This window comes from Homo sapiens, chromosome 5 (assembly GCF_000001405.40).
Source record: "Homo sapiens chromosome 5, GRCh38.p14 Primary Assembly".
In the NCBI taxonomy this organism is placed as follows: Eukaryota; Metazoa; Chordata; class Mammalia; order Primates; family Hominidae; genus Homo; species Homo sapiens.
The window spans coordinates 137,638,686-137,651,735 of record NC_000005.10 but is presented as its reverse complement, the minus strand read 5'-3'; the positions used below and the strand labels follow the sequence as shown (position 1 = coordinate 137,651,735).

At 41.9% G+C, this 13,050-nt stretch overlaps 1 protein-coding gene and 1 non-coding gene across 4 annotated transcripts in view; both read left to right on the top strand.

Moving 5' to 3' along the window:
- KLHL3 (kelch like family member 3) overlaps positions 1 to 13,050 on the top strand; it is a 118,590-nt gene that overhangs the window by 84,354 nt on the left and 21,186 nt on the right. For all 3 annotated transcript variants that reach the window (NM_017415.3, NM_001257194.1, NM_001257195.2), the window contains 2 exons: positions 11,759 to 11,876; positions 12,586 to 12,783. In NM_017415.3, the coding sequence (NP_059111.2) occupies positions 11,759 to 11,876; positions 12,586 to 12,783 (316 nt within the window). The remainder of the gene's footprint in view (positions 1 to 11,758; positions 11,877 to 12,585; positions 12,784 to 13,050) is intronic.
- Positions 4,087 to 4,164, top strand: MIR874 (microRNA 874). Its single transcript, NR_030588.1, has one exon. It is a non-coding gene; the product is annotated as a microRNA 874 (primary transcript).

Here is a 13,050-nt window from a genome sequence, read left to right as displayed (position 1 = left end):
TTGCATTTCCATTAAATTTCAGAATCAACTTGTCTATCTACAAAAAAGCTTGTAGGGGTTCTGCTTGGAATGGTATTGAATCTCTAGATCAAATGGGGGAACTGCCATCTTAATAATATTAAATCTTTAGATCCATGAACACAGCATAACTCCATTTATGCAGGTCTTCTTTAATTTCTCTCATCAGTGTTTTATAGTTTTCAGTTTATGGGTCTTACATGTCTTTTGTTAGATCTATCCCTGGGTATTTTATTGTTTTAGATGCTATTGTAAATGTTTTCTTTTGAAATTCCAATTTCTAATTGTTTATTGCTGATAGGTAGAAATGTGATTGATGAGAAAGGTTATTTAATGGGGGAGAGGTCAGGTTGGTGATGGCTTCATTGCTTTTTGAACAACAAGGACAGTAGTTTCAGAAGATTACTGAGTAGCCCAGGCTGATGCCTCAGGCAGGCATTTAGGGCTCTCTTCTAGAGTGTTAGCTCCTCTACGCAACTGTAGGTTCCATGGCAGCAGGCATTACTCATCTGTGTCCTTGGCACACGGCCTCAATTAAAGAAATACATTTTTAAAGAAGAAATAACCTCATAGAGACTTAATACTGACCATTTATATCACCCCTCATTTTTTCCTGATGGGCTTATCAGCATTCATACCTGCGTTTTCACATGGCTTTAGTGAGGATTTATATCCTACTTTATATCCTCCTTTGACCACTAATGTAGGTTGACCCTAGAATGTTTGATTCAAGCCTACAAGTCCAAATTTGAATGAATCCAGTTGTCGTTCCTGGGGGTTAGAAGGGTTGTAAGGTTCTTTGTTTCTTTTCTTTCTTTCTTTCTTTTTTTTAAATCTGAAATCCAGCTATCAACAATCATGTATGCATTAATTCATTACTTTTTTTTTTTTTTTTTAGATGGAGTTTTGCTCCTGTTGCCCAGGCTGGAGTGCAATGGCACGATCTTGGCTCACTGCAACCTCTGATTCCTGGGTTCAAGCGATTCTCCTGCCTCAGCCACCCAAGTAGCTGGGATTACAGGCGCCTGCCACCATGCCCGGCTACGTTTTTTGTATTTTTAGTAGAGATGGGGTTTCACCATGTTGGTCAGGCTGGTCTCGAACTCCTGACCTCTGGTGATCCACCTTCCTCAGCCTCCCAAAGTGCTGGGATTACAGGCATGAGCCACCGTGCCTTGCCAATTCATTACTTTTTAATTCACTCATCCAACATACTTCCATAGAGAAACCACTAATTGCCAGGCACTGGGGTAAGTACTGGATTCACGAAGGCTGATATGAACTGGTCTCTTCCCCAGGGGACTCCCAGACCAGGAGGAGGGGAAACAGTTGTGAAAGGACAATTGCAATGGAGTGAGTAAATGCCCTCATAGGGGTACAGGAAAAACACTCTGGGAGCACAGAGAGGGGTAAGGAGTTAAGGAAAGCTTTCTGCAGGAGCTGACAGGAGCTGTGTCTCCAAGGTAAAACGCAAATTGTCTGTGAGAGTGAACATCCAGAAACTGGTTCAGGTGACTGCAGGAGAAAACTGGTTTACACCCTCTGGTGACCACTTAGAATAATTTGTACTTTGCATCTTCTTCCCTGGGTCATTGTCCTGGTCATCATCACCAAAGGTATTGATGATGATACAAGTAGTATTGTTTAAATACTAATTACTGAGCAGCTTCTTTGCATTATTAGCCTAAGTATGTAATGCCCATTATCTTATTTTGTCTTTATTACAACTCTGGAGGCTTTAATGTTGGAGACAACTGAGAATCGGTGAGATTGAGTAAGACTGAGTGATTTGCCCAGGGTTTTACAGCGCTTAAGTGGCAGTGTGAGGACTTGAATCCAAGTCTGGCTGACTCAAAGCCTGGGCTTTTAATCACTACATGATACTAGTACCCACAATAATGATAACAGCAGATATCAATTACTGAGCACTTATCATGTGCCAGCCACTGGGCTAAGTGACTTATATTTGTTATCTCATAGGATTTTCATAACTGTAATTATCCCCATTTTGCAGATGAGGAAGTTGGACCTTGGGTTATGTCACCCACTTATTATGCATTAGTTATCTATTTCTGCATTACAAATTACCCTACGATGGCTTAACACAATAAACATCTATCATCTCACAGTTTCTGTGGGCAGGAATCCTGGAGTGGCTTAGCTGGGTCCTTTTGACCCAGGGTCTCTCATACAGTCAAGCTGTTGGTCGGGGTGCAGTTATTTCAGGCTTGTTTGGGGAGGATCTGATTCTAAGCTCACTCATGTGGTTGCTGGCAGGCCTGTTTCTTGCCATGTGGGCCTCTCCATAAGCTGCTTGAGTGTCCTCATGACATGCTGGCTTTCTTCCAGAGAGGGTGATTCTAGAGCAAGAAAATGAGAGCACACATCTAACACAGAAGCTGTAGTGTTTTTATAACCTAATGTCAAAATCCATGTCCCATCACTTCTGTCTTTTATTTGCTAGATACAAGTCACTAAGTCTAGCCCACACTTAAGGGGAGAGGTATTAAGTTCCACGTCTGAGTGTAGTAGTATCACAGAATTTGTGACCCATCTTTAAAGCACAATTAGTAAATGGCTGAGTTGAGGTTTAAGCCTAGGATGACTGGCCCGAGGCCCTGTGCTCTGAACTGTTTTATTATATTGCTTCCAAATGTCACAAAAGCATTATAGCCGAATGCTGTGTTGAAAGAAACCTGATTCCTGCCCTTTGGGGACTTTTAATTTTAAGAAGTCTCTCTGAGAAAGTAAGATAGACATATATGAACAACCAAATAAGTAGAGAAAGAAGAAAAATCAGGAGATAATTGGACTAGTTGGAGAAGCAGGCATAGGAATTCCAAGGGCAGGCTGGTTTGTGCTTTCATAAATTCAGTCCAGATAGGCTTTCTGGCAGAGCAAACTTTGAAAAACAACATGGTGGAGAGAGACCTGCACTATATTCAGTAATTCTCAGCAGTAACTCTGTTTGCCAGCCAAGTCCTTTCCCTGAGAGGAACAGGACTCTGCCTTGAGATAGCTGCAGAGGCTAATAAAGGTGTTTTTCCTGAGCCATATATGCACAGAGCATACTGACACATCCCAGCCGGAACAGCTAACAGCATCATCTTGGCTCCCACACATTCACCGCCCAGCACTTTTCCTGAGGCTGGGTTGCCATGGACAACCCGAGGCTGTCTCCCAGCCACTCAGAAGTCTCCTACGTTACCCTGTTCCACAGATGGCAGCAAGGAAATGAGGTTTCAGGAAGATGCAAATGAACCTTTTGGAAATGTACTGAACCTGGCACTTTTCACTGTCATTCCAGTTCAGTTGGCATCTCTATTCAGCTCTTTAAAAATGCTACTGAAACGCCATTTGGGCTGGAAGTGGGTGGCTTGCTCCTGAGTTGGGCTGTCCTGCTTTCAGTAGATGGTATTTGAAGAAGCTGTTGACAGGGTGGATGGGATGACCTCTCATTTGGCCCAGGCCCCTGGATGGGCACTGCCCCCTTCCACCTTGGTCCACACCCTGACAAGCACCCTGGGGTCCTGAAAAAGCCCCATAATCACCCCTAGAATTAGTGGTACTTACCCTCCCTCACAGGTTCATAGTATCCTTTTCTACCTTTCATTGGGAATCTGTTTTTTAGCACCTGCCTTAGAAGCTAATAATGACACTAGTGTTAATCAGATAACATTTAGTGTTTACTATTTATCAAGCATTGTGCTAAGTGCTTCATATCATTTAAGCCTCCTGACACCCATATGGGAAGCATCCTATTATCCTGATATTACAAGTTATGAAAATGAGGCTTAGCAAGGTTCAATGTCTTGCTCATAGCCACACAGCTATATAGTGACTGGGCTGATACTATATTTGGGCCCAGATGTGTCTGATTCCAAAGCCCATTTTTTCCACTCCTCTTCTCTCCCCCCGGGCCTTGCCCTCATATTACCTGGTTCTCAGACCCCCATTTTCTCTGCACCTTGCTATCAGTACTTGCCTAGAGCAACTGTTGCTCAGGAACCTGCTTGGACAAGTCTTCTGGCTCGACCTCGACATGCTCCATCGGATGAATTGTTGGTGTTAGCCCTGCGGCCCCACGCACCAGGGTAAGAGAGACTCTCGCTTCCTGCCCTGGCCCGAGGGACCGACTGGCTGGGCCTGCCTTCTGCCCAGCTCACCGGTCACAGAAGAGAGTTTGGACATGCATTCTACTCTTGCCCGATGAAAAAAGTGTGTAGAGCCCAGATTGTTCCTCTCACCTGAGTAGAAATTTGAATGACCTATGTAGTCCTGAGGCCAGGGCTAGGGTCTTGATCTACACGTAGGCTGGAAATCTCTATTCTCTTCATGGATTGTCCCTTTCCCTGGCTAGTCCCTGGCACCTAATGGCTCTCAGACACAGGGTGGTTGTGATTTCGGTGAGGAGGGACCAACATGCCTTCAATCCCACAGTCACGCTGGTAGAATCAGAATCATCTATGTAAACAAGAGAGCATTATATATTTATTTTTAAAAATGTTATGCTGGGAGTAAAATTTCCTTCCTAAGGAATCAGGTAGTCTTTTGCTTGGGCTCACTAATCTTCCTAAAATAAATGGCTATTTGACTTTTCAAAATGACAGTGTTTTCCTTGGGAGGTATCTAATAACCATCTCTGCTACAGTGGAGTTCAGCTCACTCATATTCTGTCAACCAGAGAACCTCCATTCACCAGAACTTCTGCAGCCTTCAACACAGTGACAGTTGAGACTTGGGATCAGAACTTTGAGGCACCCTGCCAAACTCCTAAGTATGCTGCAGTTCACGAGAGTGATTAAATTATGTTCAGTCTAGCATAATTGTTCACCTAGAGCCAGTTCTTTAGTTTGTGATTCCTACGTGACTGATAGTTCTTACTCAGGGTTACCTTGAAAGATAAATGTTAAAAATAGTGATCATTAAATAAGCTGATTTGATTGAGTAATTTCTAATAAAGGCATATTAATCTTAAGTATATTGGGGTTTAGGAGTGTTGGGGAAAGAAAGAAACATGCTTGTTGAACTCCCTGGGCCTGGGTGTTTCTGGAATATAAAATGAGGGCATATAGGAGAGAATGGTTCAAGTCTCTTCCTCTAACATCTTGTGGTCTTCTTAAGTAGCTAGAAGTTTGTGATTTCAGAGATGTGATACATGTAGACTGTGGGAAATACTCGTATTTGCCTAACTGCTTGCTAACATCAGGTATCCATGGAAACAACTATCCATTAGCACTCATGATAGGAAATTTATTCTTTTTACTCTGCATGATCAACACAGTAGTGGGTGTAGTGCTCCATGTATGAGTGCTTCTTGCAACACCTACCATAAAAATTGGATTTCTTTTGACCATACTGGGCTGTACTAATTTACTTTCCCACCAGCAGGGTATAAGAGTTCCTCTTTCTCCACATCCTTGCCAGCAGTTATCTTTTGTCTTTTCTGCAGTAGACCTTCTAATTGGGGTGAGGTGATATCTCGTTGTGATTTTCATTTGCATTTCCCAGATAAATAGTGATGTTGAGCATTTTTTTTCATATACTTGTTGGTCATTCATATATCTTTTTTAGAGAAATACCTGTTTAGATCTTTTTGCCCATTTTTGAATCAGATTATCTGTTTTTCTGTTATTTAGTTGTTTGAGTTCCTTATATATTCTGGGTATTAACACCTTGTCAAATGTGTGCTTTTGGCATGTTTGTCGAAAATCAGTTGGCTGTAAATGTGTGGATTTATTTCTAGGTTCTCTAATTTTAGATTCCATTGGTCTATGTGTCTGTTTTTATGCCAGTACCATGCTGTTTTAGTTACTCTAGCTTTGCTGTATATTTTGAAGTCAGGTAGCATGATGCCCCCAGCTTTGTTCCTTTTGCTCTAGATTGTTTGGCTATTCCCATATGAGTTTTAGATTTTTTTTTTTCTTATTTTTGTGAAGAATGTCATTGGTAGTTTGATAAGGATTACATTGAATCTTTAGATTGCTTTAGGTAGTATGAGCATTTTAACATTATTAATTCTTTCCATGATCATGGAATATCTTTCCATTTATTTGTGTCCTCTTCAATTTCTTTCGTCAATGTTTTATAGTTTTCATTGTAGAGATCTTTTACCTCTGTGGTTAAATTTATTCCTAGTTATTTTATTTTTTTTTGTAGCTATTGTTAATGAGTTTTTTTCTTTATTTCTTTTTCAGATAGTTCACTATTAGTGTATAGGAACACCACTAAGTTTTGTATGTTGATTTTGTATCCTGCCACTTTGCCAATTCATTTATTCATTCTAATAGTTTTTTGGTGGCGTCTTTAGGCTTTTTAATATATAAGATCATATTCTCTGCAAGCAGTTTGACTTTCTCCTTTCAATTTGAATGTACTTCATTTCTTTCTCTTGCCTGATTGCTCTGGCTAGGACTTCCAGTACTATGTTGGATAGAAGTGGAGAAAGTGGGCATCCTTGTCTTGTTCCAATTCTTAGAGGAAAAGCTTTCAACTTTCCCCTTTCTAGTATGATGTTAGCTGCGGGTTTGTCATATATGGCCTCTATTATGTTGAGTTACATTCCTTCTATTTCTAATTTGTTGAGAGTTTTTATTATGAAGGGATGTTGAGTTTTATCAAATGCTTTTTCTGCATCTATTGAAATGATTATGTGGTTTTTGTCTTTGATTCTGTTAATGTGACGTATCGTTTTTATTGATTTGTGTTATATTGAACCATCCTTGCATCCCTAGGATGAATCTATTTGATCACGGTAAATGATCTTTTCAATGTGCTGTTGAATTTCATTTGCTAGTATTTTGTTATGGATTTTTGTATCTGTGTTCATCATGGATATTGGTCTATAGTTTTCTTTTTTGTCATGCCCTTGTCTAGTTTGGTATTAGAGTAGTCCTGGCTTCAAAGAATAAATCTGGAAGTATTCCCTCCCTTTCAATATTTTAGAATAGTTTGAGAATAACTGGTATTAGTTCTGCTTTAAATGTTTGTTAGAATTCAGCAGTGAAACTATCAGGTTCTGGGCTTTTCTTTGATAGCAGACTTTTTATTAGTGATTCAATCTTGTTGCTTGTTATTGGTCTGTTTGGGTTTTCTGTTTCTTCATGATTCTATATTGGTTGGTTGTATGTGTCCAGGAAAAATTAAAAGTAGAACTACCATATGACCCTGCAATCCCATACTGGGTATGCATCCAAAGGAAATTAAATCAGCATGTTGAAGAGATATCTGTACTCTCATGTTTATTTCAGCAGTATTCACAATAGCCAAAAAACAGCATCAACCTAAGTGCCCATCAACAGATGAATGGATTTTAAAATGAGGTATATATACTATTCAACTATAAAAAGGCCGGGCACAGTGGCTCATGCTTGTAATCCCAGCACTTTGGGAGGCCGAGGCGAGTGGATCACCTTAGGTCAGGAGTTCAAGACCAGACTGACCAACATGGTGAAACCCCATCTTTATTAAAAATACAAAAAATTAGCCGGGTGTGGTGGTGGGCACCTGTAATCTCAGCTACATGGGAGGCTGAGGCAGGAGAATTGCTTGAACCCGGGGGGTGGAGGTTGCAGTGAACCAAGATTGTGCCATTGCACTTCAGCCTTGGTGACAGAGCGAGACTCTGTCTAAAAAATTAAATAAATAAAAAGGTGAAATCCTGTCATTTGTGACAACGTGGATGAACCTGGAGAACATTATGTTAAATGAAATAACCCAGGCATAGAAAGACAAACACCACATGATTTCACTTATATATGAAATCTAAAACAGACAAACTCGTAGAAGTAGAGAGCTGAATAGTGGTTATCAGAGGCTGGGGAAGGGAGGAGGGAGGGGAGATGGGGGTGATCAATGGATACTGTGTTACAGTTAGAGAGGAGGAATACCTTCTGGAGTTCTATTACACAGTAGGGTGACTATAGTTAACAATAATGTATTGTATATTTCAAAATAGCTAGAAGAGAGGATTTTGAATGTTCTCACCACAAAGAAATAATAAGTGTTTGAGATGGTGGGTATGCTGATTACCCTGATTTGATCATCACCCAATGTATGCATGTATCCAAACATCACACTGTACCCCATAAATATGTGTACCTATTATGTGCCAACTAAAAATAAAACAAAAAAATTGAGTTTCCTATGCCTATGAGAGAAGCAGATGTATACCTGCTCTTCCTGCTGCCTTGAGCTACCTCTGAAACTGATGGTCCTATCCCACAAAACCTCATAATTCATTTTCCCAGATAGTTGTACAAGTTTTGTTTGTTTAAAGTTATCTCTTACCAGTGGTTTTATGAGCTCAAAGCCAAGTTTGTTTTGAAAACCTTATCTTGTATTCTATTTTTTTTTTTTTTTTTGAGACAGGGTCTCACTCTGTTGCCCAGACTGGAGTGCAGTGGTGCTGCAATCACAACTCACTGCAGCCTCAAATTCCTGGGCTCAGGTGATTCTGCCACCTCAGCCTTCCAAGTAGCTGGGACTACAGGCATTCACCACCACACCCAGCTAGTTTTTTGTATTTTTTGTAGAGACGGGGTTTCACCATGTTGCCCAGGCTGGTCTTGAGCTCCTGGACTCAAGAGATCCACCCGCCTCTGCCACCTAAAGTACTGGGATTACAGGCATGAGCCACTGCACCTAGCTGTCGTGTATCATTTTTGTATTTCTACTCAGGCTTTACTTTAACATTAAAAAATTTGCATTTCTGTAATACTGTTTCTGTGAAAATTCTCAGAGATGAGTGGTAGATTTTCTCCAATATGCATGTACCCTCTACTTCCCTGGTGGGAGATAGTTTCTGGGGCATGGTGAGGGTTCCTGAAAACTTTGCCTTTTTTTTTTTTTAATTTACAAAAGAAGCTGGATAGCTTATGCCAAGTATAAGCAAACTTTCTTTTGGTGGTTGAGTCAAAAGATGGGAAAAGCTCTCACTTTCTCTTTTTATTTTGCTTGCTTTTTCCTCACTGTCTCCAGAATTTTAACCTGGTGTTCCAACATATTTTAACTAAAGAAAATGACGTTCTAGTTTAGTTTCTTTTTTCATTTTTAAAAACTCTGTATTGTTTGTTTAACTCCTTGCATGTGCTATTTACTTTTTATTCATGTATTCTTTATTCCAAATAAACACTTGAGCCCTCACTTTTACCTGGCAACATAAGTATATGGAGTTATCTTGGTGACTGAGGCAGATACGTTTTCTGCCTGGGCAGGGCTCACTGTCTAGAGGTGCAAAAGACAAGACACTGATGGTCCAGCACAATGCAGAACACACAGGGCAGGTGAAATCTCAGAGGACGGATATGTAGTTCTGACCTGGAGGCCAGGGAAGTCCATTTGTAGGAAATAACATTTAAACTGAGACCTGAAAGATAAGCAGGTGTTAAGGCAGAGTGCTCAGAGATGGGAAGGTTTCGAGTCAGGGAACAGCATGTGGGAGGGTGTGGGGTGCCTGAAGTCCTTGCAGAAAGAAAACTTAAAACTGCTTTTATTCTCACTCAGCTTCAGAAATCAGATTTCAAAGAAAATCCTTGCAGTATTTTCCTTCAGTTTAGCTTTACCAACTCAAAACCGGAAAGACAATGCAAGTTCTGGGCATATTTACGAACATGTCATTCTGCCCTTGAAGAGTAGGTTAGGCATTATCTGGTGTTTGCCAAGGGGCTGTGTTCATTAACATCCCCCTTGAACTGTTCATGGATGCCTGTCTAAGCAAAGAATTACAAATGGGAAGTAATGTAGAATTCATGTTTACTCTGAAAAAGGCTACTCTTGACACAGAGCAGTGGACCCTCTGAGCTGAGGCACCCAGGAAAGTCAAGTTTCTGTCTGGAAGCAGCAGCAGCAGCAGCTCGAGGCTGGGTTTTGTGTCCTGGGTTCCTTTGGAATGCTTTAGAAGTCAGAACTGATTTCTGAATTTTTGAACACTGGTTACCCACTTTTGGTGACAGACAGCTATGGACTAAGTCTGATGACCAGTGACCACCCACATGGCAGTGGGTGAGCCTGTTCTGGAATATTGGGGAATAAATGGTTGATCTGTAGTAATGGTGGTGAGCTCTGGTTTTGCCTCCCGTATGGTGGGAAGTGTTCACTTGAGGGATGTGCCTTTGCGAGTTCACACAGATTTTGATGGGCACTTCTCTCCCCAAAAATACATCATGGGGAAGTAAAAAGCACTATGATAATTCATAATGGCAAAAGTTGTTCATGGCATATCATCAGGAAATCCATACAGAGCATGGATTAAAAAGGTGGTTCTCAAAGTATGAACCCTAGAGTGGCAGCAGCAGCAGCACCTGGGAACTTGTTAGAAAGGCAGCCTCTGGGCTCCACTCCAGATCCACTGAATCACACTCTGGGGATAGGGCCCAGCAGCTTGTGTTTTCACAAGTCCTCTAGGTGATTCTGATGTATGCTCAAGTTTGAGAACCACTGGGTAAATAAGACAAGCTACAGGTAATGATCAAATGAATTTGCTGGTTGTGACTTCCACCCTTTCTCTCCACTCAAGAAAGCATATTGGAATGCCGTTGAGTGAGAGTGACATCATTGTGGGGACAGCTATGAATTTGTACATGTTTATTAAAATATGTAAACTATAGGTAACTGGTACTTTAATTTTTTATTTATTAATAACATGTGACCAAAGACACAGCAGTGATACCATAATTAAGTACTGCAGTTCTATTAACCTAACCAGAGCAGTAGTTTTCATTGTGTTTGACCATGCCCTTGCAATACAAAATGCATTTAAATTGCTATCCAGAAGACACATGTAAGTGTGTATAGCCAAAACCAATATTTCATGAAATAATATTCTTATCATATTTTCTGTGCTTTTAAAAATATATGTGCTGGTCATAATCCATTAAATTGATTTCATGACCTACTAATGGAAAGCGACCTGTGTTTTGACAAACATAGATGCAGCAAGCTGTGTTTGCTTGGATCCTGTCTCTAGAGCAGGAGTTGGGGGGGGTGGCTGGCCTCACCCTCTGTCAGGTAGACTTGGGTTTCAGTCTCTGCCTACACTCTTAGCTGTGTGACCTTGGGCCACTTACATGTGTTCTCTGAGCTTTACTTTGCTATCTGTCAATGTGGATGATGATATCTACCTCACAGTTGTGGTGACAAGTAAATGACAACACATTTCACATGGTACCTAGCAGTGGTAGCTACTACCTTACTTGTGGAAATAGGACTGCTAGCACTAGTTTCCAGAACATCATCAGTTTAATAACTTTTGTAATAAACATCTCACAGGAGTTTTTCAATTTTTTTCTATACTGCAGTGCATAAGTGCACCCTACATTCTAGGCATTCAGAAATGCTTTTGAGTAATACTTTAAAACATACGTCCAAATTCTGAACTCTTTTTCAAAGTATATTCAAGTTTGTTTTGATATAAGATTTAGCACCCCCCATTCCCAATCTGAGGGCACTGAGATTACAGATGATGCCCTGTGCGGCTTCACATACCCACAAGATAGCCCCGAGTGGGGCATTTGGGAAACAGAACTTATGACTGTGTTTCTGTGGGAAGATGCTTGTTAGACTTTTCTTGAATACTCATACCTGTTGGTGACCAGGAGCAGCATCCCCATGTATGTAGCTCTGTAAACTGGCATCTCAGATCATCCACACACCCTGGGCGATAAGCCATGTGGAAGTACCAGGGATACCATAAATCCAGATTTTGGGGTGACCCCGCTAACGTCCACTTGTCTCTCCGGAGGTCATGATTGTGGTTGGCGGCCAGGCACCCAAGGCAATCCGCAGTGTGGAGTGCTATGATTTCGAGGAGGACCGGTGGGATCAGATTGCTGAGCTTCCTTCCAGAAGATGCAGAGCAGGTGAGCAGCCTCCCAGTTCTGCAAGCTGTTTTTCCCCTGCTGGTCCCCACTCCGTGCCAGAAGTCGTGAGCTACTCCTTGTTTCCTCAAGCATCTGTGCATTTCAGGCTCCCATTCGTTTCCCTCCTGCACACTTTTTTTTTTTTTTTGGTTGTTGTCGTTGTTTTAAGACAGAGTCTTTCTCTGTCACCCAGGTTGGAGTGCAGTGTCATGATCTCGGCTCACTGCAACGTCTGCCTCCTGGGTTCAAGTGATTCTCTCACCTCAGCCTTCCAAGTAGCTGGGATTACAGGCGTGCACCACCATGCCCAGCTAATTTTTGCATTTTTAGTAGAGACGGGTTTCACCATTTTGGCCAAGCTGGTCTTGAACTCCTGACCTCAGGTGATCCACCTGCCTTGGCTTCCCAAGGTACTGGAATTACAGGCGTGAGCTACCATGCCCGGCCACTTGCACAGTTTTTGGCTCTTTTGGGGTCAGTTCTTATGAGCTTGGGGAGTTAAAGCTGATTCAAATATTTACTTGAATCAGACAAAATTAGAAAAGCAAGTAGGAAAGAAATCCAGTGAATCCCATAATGACTGCCAAATACCTAAAGTATCTTCGGTGGCGACTTTTCCTGTGTCTGTCTTGCTCCTCCATTGCCATCCATCAACATGAGCAGTCATGCGCCTGACCTGACCTTGATGTCTTGGTTTCCTGTGCCTCAGGTGTGGTGTTCATGGCTGGCCACGTGTATGCCGTGGGAGGGTTTAATGGCTCACTGCGGGTGCGGACAGTGGATGTGTATGACGGCGTGAAGGACCAGTGGACGTCCATTGCCAGCATGCAGGAGCGCCGGAGCACACTGGGCGCAGCGGTGCTCAATGACTTGCTCTACGCAGTGGGAGGCTTTGATGGCAGTACTGGTAGGTTTAGGGTGTGTTCCCAACCCCTCCTAGCCTGGGACACATCCTCCATGCAACCCTGTTTTATTCAGCCAGTTCTGGACCAACTTTCTGTCCATTTGTAGCTACTGCCCCAGGGACATATCCACTCTTCTTCCTCATCCAGCTTTTGGGTGAAGAGCCAGGCCTTCTTCCAGACAGAATATGTAACTACCCATGTACTAGGCTTTCTAGGACTCAGAAGAGTCCCTTTCCTACTTTCCAGTGTCTGGGAACCTATTTACTCAG